The 17,763-nt window shown below is 54.7% G+C and overlaps 1 protein-coding gene and 1 long non-coding RNA gene across 8 annotated transcripts in view, besides 8 other annotated features; one reads left to right on the top strand and one right to left on the bottom strand.

Annotated features, from left to right (window-relative positions):
• The window catches only part of RAI1 (retinoic acid induced 1), a 129,996-nt gene that overhangs the window by 43,473 nt on the left and 68,760 nt on the right, over positions 1-17,763 (bottom strand). Inside the window, exon 1 of one of the 7 annotated variants that reach the window (XM_047435150.1) lies at positions 15,475-15,576. The exons of the other annotated variants lie outside the window; for them this stretch is intronic. The gene's annotated coding sequence lies outside the window, so the exon portion shown is untranslated. Of the gene's footprint in view, positions 1-15,474; positions 15,577-17,763 lie in introns of those variants that run through there. 7 annotated transcript variants of the gene reach the window in all.
• Positions 1,656-1,715: an enhancer, noted in NCBI's record as "active region_11810". NCBI's record gives its function as "activates an Ori minimal core promoter by ATAC-STARR-seq in GM12878 lymphoblastoid cells {active_cell/tissue: GM12878}" and the evidence as "EXISTENCE:reporter gene assay evidence [ECO:0000049][PMID:35858748]".
• RAI1-AS1 (RAI1 antisense RNA 1) lies at positions 1,679-8,827 on the top strand. Its single transcript, NR_130894.1, has 2 exons — positions 1,679-2,163; positions 8,595-8,827. It is a non-coding gene; the product is annotated as an RAI1 antisense RNA 1 (long non-coding RNA).
• Positions 4,092-4,703: an enhancer, noted in NCBI's record as "H3K4me1 hESC enhancer chr17:17666592-17667203 (GRCh37/hg19 assembly coordinates)". NCBI's record gives its function as "activates a minimal SCP1, AML or CMV promoter by ChIP-STARR-seq in naive H9 embryonic stem cells {active_cell/tissue: H9 hESC(naive)}" and the evidence as "EXISTENCE:reporter gene assay evidence [ECO:0000049][PMID:30033119]".
• Positions 4,704-5,316: an enhancer, noted in NCBI's record as "H3K4me1 hESC enhancer chr17:17665979-17666591 (GRCh37/hg19 assembly coordinates)". NCBI's record gives its function as "activates a minimal SCP1, AML or CMV promoter by ChIP-STARR-seq in naive H9 embryonic stem cells {active_cell/tissue: H9 hESC(naive)}" and the evidence as "EXISTENCE:reporter gene assay evidence [ECO:0000049][PMID:30033119]".
• Positions 10,346-10,445: an enhancer, noted in NCBI's record as "active region_11809". NCBI's record gives its function as "activates an Ori minimal core promoter by ATAC-STARR-seq in GM12878 lymphoblastoid cells {active_cell/tissue: GM12878}" and the evidence as "EXISTENCE:reporter gene assay evidence [ECO:0000049][PMID:35858748]".
• Positions 15,025-15,726: an enhancer, noted in NCBI's record as "H3K27ac-H3K4me1 hESC enhancer chr17:17655569-17656270 (GRCh37/hg19 assembly coordinates)". NCBI's record gives its function as "activates a minimal SCP1, AML or CMV promoter by ChIP-STARR-seq in primed H9 embryonic stem cells {active_cell/tissue: H9 hESC(primed)}" and the evidence as "EXISTENCE:reporter gene assay evidence [ECO:0000049][PMID:30033119]".
• Positions 15,025-15,900: a biological region, named in NCBI's record as "H3K27ac-H3K4me1 hESC enhancer GRCh37_chr17:17655569-17656270".
• Positions 15,431-15,900: a silencer, noted in NCBI's record as "silent region_8252". NCBI's record gives its function as "represses an Ori minimal core promoter by ATAC-STARR-seq in GM12878 lymphoblastoid cells {active_cell/tissue: GM12878}" and the evidence as "EXISTENCE:reporter gene assay evidence [ECO:0000049][PMID:35858748]".
• Positions 16,241-16,360: an enhancer, noted in NCBI's record as "active region_11808". NCBI's record gives its function as "activates an Ori minimal core promoter by ATAC-STARR-seq in GM12878 lymphoblastoid cells {active_cell/tissue: GM12878}" and the evidence as "EXISTENCE:reporter gene assay evidence [ECO:0000049][PMID:35858748]".

The raw sequence follows: 17,763 nt of genomic DNA, 5'->3' as shown, positions 1-17,763 counted from the left end.
GATAGGGGTTCAGAGAGGCAAAGTCATTTGCCCAGGATCACGAGATGGGAAAGTGCTCAAGGCTGGAGTGAGCCCACGTTTCTGAGCTTACCGGCTCAACTACGTACTTGGTGGCAGTGCCAGCCCTGTGCCCACCCTGCCACAAACATCACCAGGCCCACCTGTGAGTAGCAAGGCTGGAATAACAAGGCCACCATTGCAAGGAAAACACTGAGACTCTTGGCGGGAGCCTGAGAAATGTCCTTCAGTCTCTCCCTGCAGAGAGGCAAAGGCTGAGGCTTAGGGAGGGCGATGACCCCTGAAGGATCACAGCACACAGCAAGCCTTCCAAACCCCAGTCCCCACAGCCCAGCTTCCAAAGACATTTTTTTTCTGACCTGCCAAATGCTCATGATCTGAAGCACAATGGAAAAGGCAGGATGCAAAAGCAGGCATTCAACACAATCCCAATTTTCTTAAACAAACTGGGTGGAAATGCACGAAAGTACTAACATCAGTGTGTTCTCAGCAGAGGGGCTGGAGCTGACTTCATTTTCTTCTTTACATTCTTTAGTATCTTTTTTTTTTTTTCAGCGAGTTTTTTTAAAAAGACCAACAGCTCTGAGTTTTCTAGAATGAATGGGAACAGGAATTTGTAGAACCAAATTCTGGTTAATGGAGAGTTGCCATAGATACGGTGTGGGGATTACACATTCCCCAAGATCCAGAGCATAACACAATAATTCTGGGCCTGCTGTGGCCTAGGCCTCTCTTCCCTTCTTTGTTGAGGATTCAGTAGGCTCCTCAGGCCCCGGGGTCCTCCCTGGGACATTTCCACCTGGCTCGTTGGGGAAGTCAGTGCTCTGGACGGTGTGCACCCCAGCAAAGGGCTGTGGGGGGTTCCTGGAGCTGGGAGTTGACTGGGCCAGGGCTCATTGGGAAGCATGTCCATGTGTGTGCTATGCCCTCCTGCCCAGTCTCCACTCTGGCCCTCACTGGTCCCTGCCCCACTCCGCCCTCCCCTCCCATCTGAGACCTCCCTCAGACTCACACCACCCCACCCTCTCCTGCTCGCAACCCATGGGCTTCCAAAGCCACAAGACCAGATTCCTGCCCTCCCCTGAGCTGGCCCCTGCCACCATCTATCTCCAGCACCCGCAGTGCTCTCCCAGGCCTCAGAGACAGTGGCTCCTTTCCTGCCTCCACACCTTTGCTGTCTGCTGCCTGGAGCACCGATTCCTGTGCCAGGCTGTGGCCATCACATGGGGCCTAACAGTGCCGCCGCCTGTGCGCCTGCCTGTCATCCCCAGCAAACCCTACCACGCTGCCTGCTGGGGTCCCCGCCCTGGGCCTCGCACAGTGCAGTGCTGGGGAATCCATCAGCAGTGCTCTCCGCCTGCCTTGGAGGTGGGGCTGGGTTGAGGCCCCAGCACGCCCCAGTGCTGACGCCCAGAGTTCGGCAGACAGAGCAGAGCCACCTCCTGCCCAGAGAGCACCCTGGGTCTCTGGCCTGAGAAGAGCTTACAGCTCCTTAATAGAAGCAGGCCTCGGACGCGCCTGAGTGACACCACGCCTGGCTGAGAGGTGGTGGCTCGCATCAAAGCCTCATTTTTCTTCTTCCTGTTAGGCGCTGAAACAATTTACATAGAGCGCCCCACATGTGTCTGCGACAAAGATGCATCTTTCTCATAACTGGCAGGCATCCTCCCTCGGCTTCCCAGACACCCCCATCAATGCCTGGCCCCCTTCCTTAGGAGTGGGGGTCTCAGAGACATGAGGCTTGGGGAGGCCAGCCAAAGTAACAACTAGGCCATATGTTTCTTAAAAACAAAACCCAACAGCCCTTAAGGGCTTGGGGGTGGGGAATGCATCCTGCAGGACCAGGACAGCTGCACGGGACACTACAATGTGAGTTCACAAGAAGGCCGCCTGGCTGCTCAGGGGCTGGCCTGGGCACCTCGGAACCAGGCCTGGACCCCAGGTCTTCCCTGTGATGAATCCAAGTTCAAAGGCACCAGCTCCAGCACCTACCGCTCAGGCTGGGAGGCTCCAGGGGCAGCTCCCAAGAAGCCCTGTCTTCTAGAACCAGAGCCTGAAGCCCCACCATTCTCCTGGCTTCATTCCAGGCAAAGGATTACCCATGCTTGGCTTCTAAGAAATGCCACACCCCAAGAGGGTAACAGGGTAAGTCTTACCACCCCTGTGAGCGATCAGCACTGGGGCCCTTCATCCTGTGTGTCCAAGAGTGGGGAACAGAGGCAGGCTGAACCCCAGCCCGAGGCCCCAGGGCAAGTGGTCCCCTCCCCTGACTTAAAAGATGGGCCGTCTTCCCTCTTGTGAAACGGGTGACTTGCAGGGAGATTCCTCACACGTGTACCTGGTGGAAGTGAGTTCAGTGCATTCAAATATTATACAACTATTCTTGCCTGTGTACTAGAATGTGCTATAACACCACCGTGTGACTCACACAGTAAGGCCTACGTCTTGCCGTTTGGGGCTGCACACTCAGCCTCATGTGTCTGGGCCTTGCTTTACACGATTTTCATCTTGTGTGTACAATACAGACCCCCAAGTCGCCTGGAAGACAAGTCCACGCTGGGGATGTTTCTGGATTCTGAGGTGGAGGAGCCCTAGGGCTGGGCCCACATACCTTCCCCTCCACCTCCTGCCTGGACTGTACCTCGGTCTCTTCTGTGTGTCCAGTAGAGGCTTCTTAAATGCAAATGAGACCATGGCAGTTCCACTTCCAAGGCACACATTGAATGGGAACTCCACATACAGGAACCAAACAATGTGTTGGAGAATGTTCACGGCAGGTATATTCACAAGATCCTCCAACTATTTTAGTTTTCAAAAAAATGTTTGAGAGATGAGGTCTTGCTATGTTGCCTGGGCTGGTCTCAAACTCTCCTCCCGTCTCAGCCTCCCAAAGTGCTGGGAATACAGGCGCAAGCCACCGAAGATCCTCCGATTATAAACAATCCAAGTGTTCATCAAAAGTAGGAGGGAGAAATAAGCTGTGGCATATGCACACAATAGAATACTACACAATAATGAAAAACCACTGCCACACACAGCACAGATAGGTCTCATAAATAGTAAAAGAAGAGGAGGCCAGGCGCGGTGGCTCATGCCTATAATCCCAGCACTTTGGGAGGCCGAGGTAAGCAGATAGCTTGAGGCCAGGAGTTCAGGACCAGCCTGGCCAACATGGCAAAACCCTAAAAATACAAAAATTAGTTAGGCGTGGTGGCAGGCACCTGTAATCCCAGCTACTTGGGAGGCCGAGGTAAGCAGATATCTTGAGGCCAGGAGTTCAGGACCAGCCTGGCCAACATGGCAAAACCCTAAAAATACAAAAATTAGTTAGGCGTGGTGGCAGGCACCTGTAATCCCAGCTACTTGTGAGGCCGAGGCACGAGAATTGCTTGAACTCGGGAGACGGAGGTTGTAGTGAGGCGAGATCGCACCACTGCACTCCAGCCTGGGTGACAGAGCAAGATTTTGTCTCAAAAAAAAAAAAAAAAAAGAGGAAAAGAAGTTGGACAGAAAAGGTTTCATGTCTGTGAAACTCAAAGGCAGACAAAAGTACTCTTGGGCAGGAAATGCCTGATGAGGGGGATAAGGGACATCTGGGGGCTGGTGATGTTCTTTTTCTTGATCTGAACTTCAGTTATACCCGAGTGTGTTTGGTTTGCAGAAATTCATCAGCTGTCCACCTATGATTCGTGCTCTTCTCTGTATGCAAGTCAATAAAAAGTTAAAAAGTAAAACTAAATGAGGCTGCAGCCTACTCTACTCAATCCCTCCCAAGGCTCCTCACCTTGCTCAGGGTAAAGTGCTGAACCTTCTTGGTCTTTGTGGTCAGTGTCGGCACCACCACCAAATATTTCCTGTCCTCCTCAGCCAAAGGCAGCAAGCGTGTCACTAGCCCATAAAGATGTCCGGAGGATGGCCATGTGGCCCACTTTGCAGTGAAATTCAAGTGGAAGTGCCACATGCTGCTTTAGGAAGCTCCATGCATCTGTACACCTGTCTCTCTCCCTCTGTGCCACGAAAATAGCCCTAATGGCTGTTGTTCTGTCTGCCCAGGTCCTGAGTGACATCAGTGAGCAGTTTCCCAGCTGTCTGGTCAGAGACCTGGCATGAGTGAGGGTCAAACCCTGTTTGAAGGGGCTGATATTTGGGGATATTTGTTATGCAGCACGCCCAGCCTATCTTGAGGAGTACAACCAGGCATTCTAGGCTTTTTGTGGCCTGGACCCTCCCAACCTCTCTGGCTTTGTGAAACAGAAACATTCTGACTATGAGTCCCGTGGATTCTACACTCCAGGCATGCTGGGATCTCACAGCTTTTCAAATGCACCAGGTTCTTTTATGACCTGGGCCCCCGTACCTGTGCCCAGCACACTTCTCCCTGCCTGCCTTCCAGGCAGACTGCTTTTGCTCCTTGGCCACTCCGGCAGAGTGGGCTGGCCCCGTCTTTTGGCTCCCAGGGTCCCTCGGTGCCCCCTCTGCCCCAGCACAGCTCACCCCTCTTGCTGCTGCCAGCAGCTCCTTGAGGGCGGGCGTGTATCAGTGGTCAATTGTCATTTCCCATAGGAACAAGCAAGGAAGGGAGTGAGACACACAGGCTCCTGACCTCCAGCTCCTTGGGGAGGGACTTCACAGGCAGCTCCCGGTCTGGATCACAAAGCTAAGTGCAGCCCAGCAGCCGTGGTCACTGGGTGGATCTCTAGGATTCCTCTGGCAGTCTCCACATGGCTAGCAAGCTCTGAAAATGCGGCGTGTCTTAAACCTGTCCCCCTTCTCTACTTCCAGGGGCTGCCATTCCCACCCCAGGAAAGCGGGGGGATGCAGGGAAGGATCTGGGGGAAACGGTGTTGCCAATTAACCTGTTTTAGACAATGCAAGTTGGAATCTCAGAGAAAGAACTTTTTTTTTTTTTTTCCAGAAAAGCCTCCATTTGAGGCTGTGTGATAAATGATCTCTGGGTTCAGCTCTGGCCTCGGAATCCCAGCTACAAATGCCAGCGGGGAACCACCTGGAGCAGGAGGGTTTCCAAGTGGCCTTTATCGACTCTGCCAATCATCGGGCCAGCCCCCATGGGAGCCTCTTGCTTTCAGCCCTAGAGAGAGGAGGGGGTTGGGGAGTGGGCAGTGTGGGCAGGAGTGCAGTGGGGAGGGGGAGGCGGGTGCATGAAGGAGTGAACAGGCTGTGGAAGCACAGGCCTCCTGGATGCCCTGTGTCCTGGGGGCTCTTGGTTCTACTGAGCTCACCTCTACCTGCCCCTCCCGACAAGTCCCCCACCACAGAGCAGAAATGACTGGGATCAAACCCCTGGCCAGTCACAGCTGGCGAGTCTCTGAGCAAGCACCTCACTTTCCTCTGTGTTGCCACAGACTCTGGAAGCCCAGAGAGGGTGGGCCACTTGCTCAAGGTCACACAGGAAAGTAAAGTGAATGCTGAGAGCCAGATCTCCTGCTTTGGTGGGGAAGCTCCCTTGCTGCTGGGGGTAGAGTCAGAACTTTCCCTCAACTAAATTTGAACCTCTTAGCTGTCTAAGGTTAGGGGTACTCCTCCCCAGCTTCATTTCCCACCCCGCTCCCATGCACACTCCAACCACACTGGCTCCCACTGGCTCCTCACACATGCCATGCCCCTGACCCCCAGGCCTTTGCACATGCTGTTCCCTCCGCCTGGGACGCCATCCTCCTGGGTCTTCTCCAATGAGCCCAGTCACCTCATCTGAGAAGCCCTCCCTGACTGCCCTGCCTAAGGGAACTCCCCTAGTCCCTAGCTCTTACCACTCTCCAAAATCACCTCCCTCGTATATTTATTCACTCTCTTTTCTCTCTGCACTGGTAAGCTCCGTGAGGGCAGAGTCCATCTGTCTTGTCAGGGCATACAGCAGACACACGCATGCCCAATGGATGGGTAGCTGCTGGTGGCACTCCAGCCTCGAGCCCAGTGCAGGGATGAGGCCTGTGGCTGTTTCTGGGCCGCGCTCACACTCAGGAACTTCTGGTTCAACCAAAAGTCCCTTGGATGCCCTGAGACCTCCCTCCCATGCCTCCCTCCCTGCTGGGCCCCCTGTCCTGAGACCTTTCCATCCCCCCACCTGCCCTCGCTCCTCAGTGACCACCACCTTTCTCCCACTCAACTGTGTTCCCTGCTCAGATGCTGCCCAGGCCCCAGTCACCAATCAGACACTGTCCCTGCCTCCTTGGCCTGGCATTCACAGGGGATTCCCACCCACCTCCCCAGCTCCCAAATTTCATGCCCAGCAACAATGACTTACAAGGAGCTACTGGCACCCTCTGGGAGTCTCCCAACCTTTTGTGCCTCCCAACCTTTCCACCTGCTCCTAGTTTGCCTGGCAAAATGCTAGTAGGCCTTGTCACTAGTTCAGGGATCACCTCCTCTCAAATCTCACTGTGACTTTCCAACTGATGCCTGCCCTAGATACCCTCTTCCCCTTCCACCATCCCCCGGGGCACTGGCCACTCCACAGGTCAGGATCCACAGCTGTCAGCCTCCCAGCGAGCCTGCTGCTTCCAGTTCCACCATGGTGCCCCTGTGCCTGGCACAGAGTAGGTGCTCAGAAAAAGCTAATGACGTGGGCTGGTAAATGGATTGGTACGATTCCAGAGGCTCAATCTGGTGGCTGCATGTGTGCCAGGAACCTAAGAGACCAGTGAGGAATCTGCCACCCCCACTTCCTTGGGCACTAGTTAAAAAAAAAAAAAAAGCCTTAGAAGAACCATTTTCATTTGCCAAGCACTTACTATGTGCCAGTCCCTGTGCTGAGGCACTCACATATGGGTCGCCTCTTTCAACCCTCAGGACAATACTGGTCTATCATTATCATTTCCACTGTAAAGATGAGGACTCTGAGCACAGAGAGGACAAGGAACTAGCCTAAGGTCACACAGCTGGGAAGTGAATGAGCTGGGGCTTGAACCCAGGTCTGTTTGACTCCAAAACACTTTCACTGTGAATGAGCTGCCTATCCCCTGAGTATGCAGTTCTAGGAGGTTCTTGGCAAGGGGGTAATCTGCGGGGCTTCCCTCCTGAGCCCTCTACGCCCATCACCTATAGGCACGCCTTGATGCCAAACTTCTCCCTCCCATAAATCAATCCCCAACTTCTTTGGCTAGGAGGTGGGGGCTTCTTCCTGAAGCCTTTCTTGGCCTGGCCCTGGGCAGCTAGGACCAAGCAGGAGGAAGGGTTTTCTGCAGTGTGGCCCTAAGCCCTGTGGCACCAGCACCTGGAACACATTTTATTTTAGCTCCACACGTTCCCTGCAGGGTGGTGCCACCATTTGACAGCCGAGGAGACCAAGGCCCAGGCCCCACAGCAGCTCCAGCTTCTAGACTCTGGAAAGATACACCCTTTGACTTCTGGGTGGGGCTGGGGGCCTCCTTGGTGTGGGACTCTGGGAGTGGACGTTGGACGTCAGGGGCCCCTCTCCATGGCGGGGACCCAGGGCTAGGCCACTAACTGAGCTGCCATAAACCCTCGGCATCCAGGAGTTCCCAGGCCAGGGACACTGGGCTGAGCCAAACTTCTGGGTACAGTCTGGGTGACCTTGACCCTGATGCCAAGCCCATCCCGAGTATGCAGGATGTATGGGCTTCCCTCCTGAGCCCTCTAAGTCCATCATCTACAGGCACACCTTGATGCCAAACTGCTCCCTCCCATAAATCAATCCCCAACTTCTTTGGCTAGGAGGTGGGGGATATCAGTAAAGTGGGGGCTATCAGTAAAGTTGGCCCCTCACTGTCTACCCTTCCACCATTACAGCACTGCTCGAGCACACAGCCACAGTGACCTGGGCACTTGTCTGTCTTTCCCCCAGGGCTGGCAGCAGGTGGGGGCAGTACTCTGTCTGGGTGCCTAGTCCTGTCCAGCACAGGGCTCTGACCAGGAGGGAGCCCTCTGGGGATGTCTGTTAGATGAGTGAATGGACAGTTATGCATTTATTTCCCTTCTGCTTTATTCTACAGCCCATCTCCTCCAGGAAGCCCTCCCTGAAAAACTTCCATCTATTACCCCAAGCATCCAGAGCCCTTAATAAGCACAAATCTTACCCCAAGACTCAATTTAGCCCCAGATCAAGATTACAGCATCCTAGTGGGCTCTGTCCAACTTGTACTCAGCTTCACGGACACAGCTTCCACTTCTTTTCACAGCTCTGCATTCAGCATCCACTGGGGGCCTGTCTCCATGCTTGGTGCTGAGTGCAGCAGTGGGCAGGCCAGGCACGGCCTCTGCCCTTGAAGACAAGCACCGAACATTCTAGGTCAGCTGGGTCCCCTCTGGCTAGCGTGGCTCTTGGCAAACCTCACCCCGAAATATGTGCAGACATGGGGAACTATTCCAGCGTATGAAGGGCGAAAAGCAGGTCACTGAGGGTATGCAGAAAGAACATGATGCAACTTCTGTTTTAAAAAATGTGTATCTGTACCTGGTTCTGGAGCAACTGGGCCCAAAATGTGACCTGGCCATCAGAGGGTGGGGGTGGTGGGGTGAGACTGCAGGGAAACATTATTTTCTTGAGACTTCTATTTGCTGAATGTTCTGCAATGAACATATATATTATTTGTCACTAGGTGGAGAGACTGCCAACGGACGCATCCATAGCTGGGCTGAAGTCTGTGTCTCAACTTGTGTCCTGATTTCTGGAGATGCAAAGAGTGAGACAACTCCTCGTAGTTGGCCACTCTGACCTGGCAAGAGCCCACAAGCTCCCTGCCCGCTTCTTCTTCTCTAGGCATGCTGTCCCAGGGTCTGAGGTCACACCACCCTTCCCCATGTGGGGATGGACATACAGCAGGTGCATCTTAACAGCTTGCAGAGAGCAGCCAGCCTCCCCTGCTTCCTGCCTGGGCAGGTGTTCTCACCTGCGCAGGCCTTGGTATCCTTATCTGCGCAATTAGGGTGATACTCCCCAAACCCAAATCTTTGTTCCTCCTCAGCTGAAAACCTTCCATGGCGACCAGAACCTCTAAGTAAAAACTCTCTTGCTTGCATTCAAGGTCCTGCACCCTCTGACCCCTGCTCCCTCTACCAGCCCCCCTCCCCACCAAAACAGGTCAGCCTGTAATCCACCTGTCAGCTGGGCAGCTTCATACCCCTGGGCCTTTGCATACACCAGTCCCTCTGTCCAGAACACACAGACCCTCCCCTGTTCATCCTTCAAAACCCTGCCCAGCATCAGCCCCCGTGAAGGGCCCTCTGCGATATCCTCACCGCCCTGAGTATGCTCCTCGTACATACGTTGATCATTGCACAACTGCAATTAGGGGTTGGCGCGTCTGTCTCCTACCAAGCCAGATGCGACAGGGATTGGGCCTTTTGTCTTTGTTTTAAATCTCTGGTGCCCAGATACTGCCTGCAGAGAAACAGGCACTCAGGAACGTCTAGCTGACAGGTGGGTGAGTCGGTAAACAACATCTGCACAGCCCTTTCCAGTTTACGAAGCCTTTTCCTGTCCTCCATCTCACAAGCTTCCTCTAACCAGGGCAGCAAGGAAGGGAGGCTCCCGGAGCCCGTCCCTGTCCATAGGTGCTGCCTCTGAAGGCCTGGGAGCTTCAGGGCCCCTTGTCTTCACCTAGGCAGGAGCTGGGGTCTTCAGGGCTCACCAAAAGCAGCTGGGACCTCCTTTCAGCTGTAAGCCACCCATTTCCTCTGCCAAAGGCTCCCTCCCCGCCCATCCCCTGGAGAGGGTTTGCTGAGTGCCCAGGTGGTGGCCGGGTTGGTAGGGCTTGTGGCGGCCCTGCCATCCTGCCCGGAGCTGCTGGGATGCGGCCGCTGGAGCAGCAGCTCCACCACCGAGTCTTGGTAACAGTTGCTATGTAAAACGCTCGGAGGGGGAATTTACTGTCAGCGTTAATAATAGATGAAGGTTTCAGAATTTCTGATGCCTTACGTTCTAAGCCGTTTGATTTATAATGTCTCTGGAAAGGGAGAGATGAGGGTGGGGGCGAGGTAGGAGGCCCAGAGGCATGAGCTGGGAGCTCATCTCCCTGCACCTTTGGCAGACAGGGAAACCGAGGCCCAGAAGGGGAAAGCTACTGAGTCGTGTTCTTCCAGAATGCCAGGACCCGTGGGGACTTCAGATGCCCAACACTGCCCTGTTCCATGGGAGGGGAAACTGAGTCTCAGCCTCTCCCGCCCCGGCGCCTGGGGTTGTTTTGATGGATTACTGCTTCTCCTTTTAGCGTGAGCAGGTGTATCTCAAGTAGTCTCCGGAAGTGGCACTGATGGGCGCCTGCGGCGGGGGCTGTGTGGGGCTGATTACAGGCGCTACAGAGGCAAAATGCGAGTCCTAACTTCCCTTCTGCTTAGCTGCAAGTGGTAGTGGTTGTTGAGTTGTGGGAAAAAAAAATCCTCCGAGAAGAGGCGGCAGCCACGGCTGGGCAGGAAACAGGGCTGTTTAACTGGGGTCCTGCTGTCCCAAGAAAGCCGCAGTGCCCGAGGGGGAAGGTGGAGCGCAGGCAAGGCACACACTGGCAGGTGGGCCCCGCTGCAGCCAGGCTGTCCCCCACCCCTACGGCAGGCTGGGGTTACTGGAATTGAACTGGTCTGTAGAAGGGTTGCTGCCCTCTCTGTGCTCACATCCTGCCGCCCCCCGGCTTGGCCCACACTGCCTCCTGATCTGGAGCTCTCTCCTGCCTCCGCAAACCCACCTTGGCCTCTCAGTCCAGGCTCAGGAAATCTTTCCTGACTCTGCAGCCAGATGAGCTGCCGTCTTCAGGCCAGAGAAGCCAGGCCCAGGGCTGAGCACCCAACACCTCCACAGCTGTCCCCACTTATAAACTGGGGTGTGTCTGGGCTCAGGGTCTCCCTGCCTCAGGGAGCCAAGAGCTCTCCCTGGACCCCGCTCCAAGCATGTGACACCACCCTATCCCTCCCTGGGCCTCCATCTGCTCCTCTGTAAATGGAGGTGGCCAGCCTGACCCCGCGGAGATAGGGTGAAGTGTACACAGGGCCCGGCATTCAGCACCCTCTGGGGGCTGCCCGAGAGGGCCCACAAACTCTGAAAGGCAATGGGCATGCGGTTAATAACAATGGCAACAGTCATGAACAGAATACCGTTCCCACCGGGCAAGCACATCACCCCAGTGAACAGGTGGGAAGCCTGAGGCCTGGCCAAGCACACCTTCACAGAAGCCCCTCTTCCTCCCCGTCCACTTCCCTGCCTCGTTACCGACGAACTGATTTGCTTTCTCCAGTGCCCCCGACTCAAGCGTCTGCTTCACTAAGAGGATTTTTGGTCTATTTTGTTCACACTGTGTCCTGAGCACCTGGGACAGATTAGCACGTAGTAGGCGCTCAAGGATTTGCGGAAGACTCTATGGAGATTTTCTGATTTGAAGCTAGCACACTTTACTTGACTGCATCTACCTTTATACGTAAGGGAGGTAAAGGTGAAGAACAAGACAGTGGAAAGCAAACACACTATTTCAAAGGAGTTTCCAAAAATAAAAAAATTCATTCATGCCAGGTGCAGTGCTCACACCTGTAATCCCAGCACTTTGGGAGGCAGAGGCAGGTGGATCACCTGAGGTCAGGAGGTCCAGACCAGCCTGACCAACATGGAGAAACCCTGTCTCTAATAAAAATACAAAATTAGCCAGGCATGGTGGCAGGCACCTGTAATCCCAGCAACCTGGGAGGCTGAGGCAGGAGAATCACTTGAACCTGGGAGGCAGAGGTTGCGGTGAGCCGAGATCACACCATTGCACTCCAGCCTGGGCAACAAGAGCAAAACTCTGTCTCCAAAAAAAAAAAAAAAATTCATTCACTCCTGCTGTGGCCAGGCACCCCCGTGCCAGGTCCCATGATGGATGCTTAAGTTTCGCAGGCTCCAGAACTCCTGTCCCAGGGGAACAGGGACACAGGCAGTCCCAACAGGCCCTGCAATAACCAACCAGACCCCACATGGAGGCTGGCCAGGCCCTCCTGGCTTTCCATGGTGGCTAGGGCTCACGTAAGGACTGGGTGCACCGAGGGCCGCACTGGGGACACTGGTCCCTGGTGAGCTGCAAAGAGCGGCCAGCTGGATTTATCACTAAAGGGAGAGGGTTGGGGATAGGGAAGGGTGATGTGTGCAGAGGGTACAGCCCTGCCCAAGCTGTGAGGCACGGCAGGCCTTGGGGTGAAGAGAAGGCGGGCTTGACAGGGTGTAGGCCGGGTCTGAGGGATGCTGGGTGCCAGGGGAGGAGCTGGGCTTTGTCAGAGAGCCCTGGGGCGACCCAGCCAAATCTGAGGGTCAGGATGACATGACCCCATGGGAGAAAGCATGGCTGGGCCCAGGATAGGATAAGCAGGGAAGGATCTGGGGGGACGCACCCCTGCTGGCTAGGACACTGACTGATGGAGGAGGACATGCTCCTTGGAGGGACTAAGGGTCTCTGCTGGAGAAATGCCCCCAAACAAAGAGCTCTCTCCTGAGTCTACCACCCTCTGCCCTCCCTGGGCTCCAATGTCCAGGCCCCCTGCCCTTCAGTCAGGCCCAGCTGGGGCAAGTTGGTGAGGGTGACCCCAAGGTCGTGGCAAACAGGGAATGCCAACTCACCCTGCCAAGTGGTTCCAGTGCCCAGTGCTCTCCCTGCCCTCCTAACTCTAGGCCTACACCTCTCCTTTCTGCATCACTCCCGCCCCATCCACCCAGGGAGCAAAGCTGCCAGAAGCTAGAGCCCACTTAATCAGCCACTCAGCATTCCATAGAGCTGTATTACACACCATGCGCTGGGCCCTGTGTGGAGGGCTCACAGTCCAGCACTGGGGTGCTGCCAGGCTCTTGGGGTGACAGTGTGTAAACAGGCCTGCTAAACCAGGGTGGCAGCACCGTGACAGGAAGGCTCAGGCTGTGGGAGCTCAGAGGAGCCCTCTAAACAGTCCAAACGTCAGGCAAAGCCTTCAGGGGGAGGCATGGTGTGAATGTTGTGGGGGTACAGCTATGGCTATTTCCTCTCCTCTCCTGACCTCCCCGCTGTCGCACTCCAAAGCCTGTGTTCATAAAGCCGCTCCAGACAGGTGGGCCTTCTCTAATCCAAATTACCAGCCCTCTCAGAGCCTCAGTTTTCCTGATCTATAAAATGGACCCAATGAATGTAGACTGGGAAAGTGCTTACCAAGCACCTACTATGTAGTTACTCCTCTCTCCCACCCTCTGTGCAGAGACGGGCCTTGCACCCTTGCCCTATCTTCCTAACCCAAGTTGAGGCCTGGTGGCAGCCCCCCAACCACTGCCCAAAAACGCTTAGGGCTCTGGAGTACCAGGAACTGAACACTAGTAGGTACAGGCTGTCGGATATTATTTGTTATGGCTTTAATAACAGTTTACAGAGGGCCGGTTTCCCATGGCTAAGGCACATAATTTCTGTAACTTTACTAGTGCCACTAACTTGAGTTGTCATGGGAGGCAGGAGGGGAATTAAAGATCAGGTTAGGGAGGCTGGGCGCAGTGGCTCATGCCTATAATCCCAGCACTTTGGGAGGCCGAGGCAGGCGGATCACCCGAAGTCGGGAGATAGAGACCAGCCTGACCAACATGGAGAAACCCCGTCTCTACTAAAAATACAAAATTAGCCAGGTGTGGTGGCGCATGCCTGTAATCCCAGCTACTCGGGAGGCTGAGGCAGGAGAGTTGCTTGAACCCGGGGGGCTGAGGCAGGAGAACTGCTTGAACCCAGGAGGCGGAGGTTGCGGTGAGCCGAGATCGCGCCATTGCACTCTAGCCTGGGCAGCAAGAGCGAAACTCTGTCTCAAAAAAAAAAAAAAAAAAAAAAAAAAAAAAGATTGGGTTAGGCGAATGGCATAAAATGCCTTTGTACAAAACAGGAAGACACCCCAGGTGCCAGGCTGCACAGCTGGCCAGTGGCTCGATTTCTTCCAGGGATCCTTGTACAATGTACAACTTGTACAACCATACACTTTGGCCCTAGGTTCAGGTGAGTGTCAGCATGGAGGCCTTTCCCCAAATAGGTCTCCCCTGCTTTACAGACCACCCAGCCCAGGTATGAGACCTTGAGATCCAATGCAAAGTTGAAGTGTGTGTGGACAAGCACATTTTTCTGAAGAGGGTCTAGAACTTTTTTCCAAATCCCAAAGGATCCACAGTTCCTCCAGTCTAGACTTGAATCTGGAGCCAGGGTCTGGGGCAGAGAACGGTAGACTTTCTAGAGCCTGGAGAGGAGTTCAAATGTGTTCTGAGACACAGATATCTGTCATTCCATTTCTCAAATGATGGACTTAAGACTGAGTATCAAAACCACACACAGGCAGTTTGAATAAAAGGGCATTCCTGAGCCCCACCCCTTAAAATCTGTGATTTGAGGGTGGCCTGAGCCCAGGAATCTGCTCCTAGTACAAACTTCGGGGTGGTTTATAGCACCCAGCAAAGCTCAGGAAGCTCTGATTTAATACATTGTTATTAGCTTGGCTCAAATTGCATTTTCTTTTGGTGTTGGTGAGGAAACAATGTATATACCCCAGAGATCACCCAACTCCCAAAAGGCTATCCATGTATAACCGTGAAGCCGATTTCATGAGTTTAGCTCCCTTTTGTTTTGTGGGAGTGCCATGGGGGTAAGGGGTGTGGAGATTTTCTCGCTGCTCTACCACTCCAACCCCCACTCCAACCCTGTCAAGCCAGGACAAGGCACAGCAAGTAATACACAAACGAAGAGTCAGATGCTGGGGCTCCCAGGTCTGGTCGGCAGGGGTCCTGAGCAGCCCTCACTCCAGGCCCCTCCAGCCTGTGTCTGTGACCCTGCCTTCCTCCTGAGGCAGGGCCAGCCCCTGGGGCTCCTGTCTGGCCAGCACAGTAGGCCATTCACCAAGGGCACACACCAAACCAGGCTCCTCGGGCCTGGGGTCCAGGCCAGACACTGACCCAGTGCCCTGGCTTTGGAGACAAACTCTTCTGTGTCTGGGTCTGAAGGCACATCTGTCTCCCTTCCTCCCAAGTCCCGGGCCAGTACAGCCGGCACCACCCACCAAGGAAGCCTCAGGCAACCTGATGAATGGAGGCATTCAACAACACAAACCGAGCACCTACTGTGTGCCAGGCCACAGACAGGGCCCTGCCCTGAGGCACACGTGTGATGAGGGCGGAGAGTGCACAAAAAGAGATATAAACGCTGGGCAGAGGAGTGCCAGGCAGGGCAGGTCACGGTCTGTGTGGAGAGCCTCCTGAGGGGGTGAGGAATCGGCCGGAAAGAAGGACTTTAAGAGTGTCCAGGAATGACGTGCAAAGGCCCTGTGGTGGTGAGGAGAGGGAGGGGCCAGCGTGGCAAGTAAGGTGGTCGGCCCCCGGGGACACGTCTGCAGTGCCTGGCCACCCACGGCCGGATGAGGATTAGGGGGCGCTGGCCTAGCAGGCCTCTCACTCTCAGACTCCAAGGGCCAAGAAAAACTACGGACAGGAAGCCCGGGTCTGGAGGCGTCCTTTGTTCGGGGCCGCCATCAAGGAGCACTCACCCCTATCCCAGGCTCCCGGGGCGGCTGTTCCGGAAGCCCCGCCCCTTTCCAGCCGCGCGCGGCCGCGCCCGCCTGTTAATCACAGGCAGCGCGCGCCAGTACAAGACCAGCCTCGCCCCGGGGGCCCCGCCCACAGGTCAGCCCCGCCCCTTTCCGCTCACCCCGCCCCGCCCCTCCGCAGTGTGACGGCCAATCAGGGGCGTCTGCCCGGGCTGGGGGCTGGGGCATGTGCGAACACAAAAGGCAGGAAATACGAGTAGTCTGGGGCGCTGTCACCATGGCTACCTGCGCCCGCGCGCCGCCCCGCGCCCAGTCCCGGCACTGGCCCGTGGGTATGCCGGGCGGGAGGCTCCTGCGGGGCGCTGGGCAGCCCTCTCCCCACAGGGCTGCAAGACCCTGGGCCTCCACTTCCTAGTCTGTGAAATGGGGTCACGTTTTGCCCAGGGCTGAATTCACTCATACTTCAACAAACATTTATTGAGTGCCTACTATGTTCGGGTGCTTGAGATCCACCACTATAAGAGATTAAAAAAACAAAAAATAAAAAAAAACTCTGCCCTTGGTGGCTTCTATGGGAGGAGTTGGGGAGACGCACGGAAGGGAGGCAGCCAATAAGCAGCAACATAAATCAGTAAATTGTACAGGGCGTTACACCGCGACTGAGTGCTCTGGGGGAAACATTCGCTAAGGGGAACGGGTACTAGGTTCGTAGTTTTAAATAAGGTGGTCTGGCAGGCCTCATCAAGAGAGGTAATTTGAGAGAAGACTCTAAGGAGAAGGAGGAATCGGCCCTGTGGCTCTCCAGGAAGAGCACTGCAGGCAGGACAGGCGGCCAGTGCGTGCAAAGGCCCAAGGCAGTAGTGTGCCCGCAGGAGAGCAAGGGGCCACGGTGCATAGCTAGGGAAGAGTTATGGCAGTGACACAGCAGAGCAAGCCAGCAGGTGCTCAGTCCAGTCGCTCTCTGTTCACTTTCCCTCCTCACCTTCCTTCTTTTTTTGCTACCCTTTCCTTCTCTACGGACAAGGGGAAAACACCAGCTTGAGGTGAGATAAACAGTAGTTTTAGGAGACATTCCCTCTGCAGTGTGGGTCGGAAGGATCTCAGACTTAGGTCACTGTTCTGGGCAAGCTCTAGGGGCAAAGCAGACACAGGAGCCGAGAAGCCAGGCTCTCTTAGCCTTTGCACAGGCCCCTCTGCCTGGCATGCCTTTCCTTTTCAGTCTGACAGACTCCCACCTTAGCCTTCAAAGCCCGACCAAATGTCACCTCCTCGGGAAGCGTGGGCTACCTGCCTTGATGAGGCTCCACTTCCTGGAGCTACTCTTCCATACAGACCCCATCCTAGCACTGGCCACACACCCCTCCCTCCCGCTTTCCTGCATGGAGGGCTGCTAAGGGGCAGAAAGGCCAACATGCCAGCACTTGTCAATCATAAAGAGCCAGAAAGACAAAACCGGAAGTCGACGGCTAATGGTTACTAGCCACATGTGTACCCATCTTCCTCCTCTGTGGAAGGCGGAAGGAAACAGATGCCCTCCAAATATGGACAGCTGAAATGATGAAGTGCTGAGCCCTGGCCCAGACCCTCAGAGAGATGTACTCAACCACCTCCCCACCCTTGGACAAGCACAAAACCAGAGAAAACAAAGGCCAGCAACTGTGGCTCAGCCCGCATAAATTTCTTCTGGACACTGGCCTGTCTATTTGAATATCTGTAATGTTTGGTGGAGTCAGGGGTGAGGGTCTCAGCCTTTGGCTGCTGCATCTCCAGACACCCATCATGTGTTTCTTTTCTTTTTTTTTTTTTTTTTTTTTTTTGAGACGGAGTACAATGGTGCAATCTCAGCTCACCTCCGCCTCCCAGGTTCAAGCGATTCTCCTGCCTCAGCCTCCCAAGTTGCTGGGATTACAGGCACGCACCACCATGCCCGGCTAATTTTGTATTTTTAGTAGAGACAAGGTTTCTCCATGTTGGTTAGGCTGGTCTCAAACTCTCGACCTCAGGTGATCCACCCGCCTCGGCCTCCCAAAGTGCTGGGATTACAGGCATGAGCCACCGTGCCCGGCCCATCATGTTTCTAATGGGTATTTTCCCCTTAACATGTCATTTGAGCCCCTGCCTGCTCATCAGTAAACTGGGCTAATTATAATACCCTCCTGTAGGGCTGTTGTAAGAATAAAATGGACTAATTTGAGAAAAGGGCTTACAACAGGGTATAGTGACAAGGACTCGGTAACGGTTGGCTCTGCTGATTAGAGAGACCAATACAGCAACCTATGGGAAGATTTG

The sequence above is a fragment of the Homo sapiens genome, chromosome 17, assembly GCF_000001405.40.
Source record: "Homo sapiens chromosome 17, GRCh38.p14 Primary Assembly".
In the NCBI taxonomy this organism is placed as follows: Eukaryota; Metazoa; Chordata; class Mammalia; order Primates; family Hominidae; genus Homo; species Homo sapiens.
Note: the sequence above shows the minus strand (reverse complement) of the source record. Positions and strands in the feature narration are given on the sequence as shown.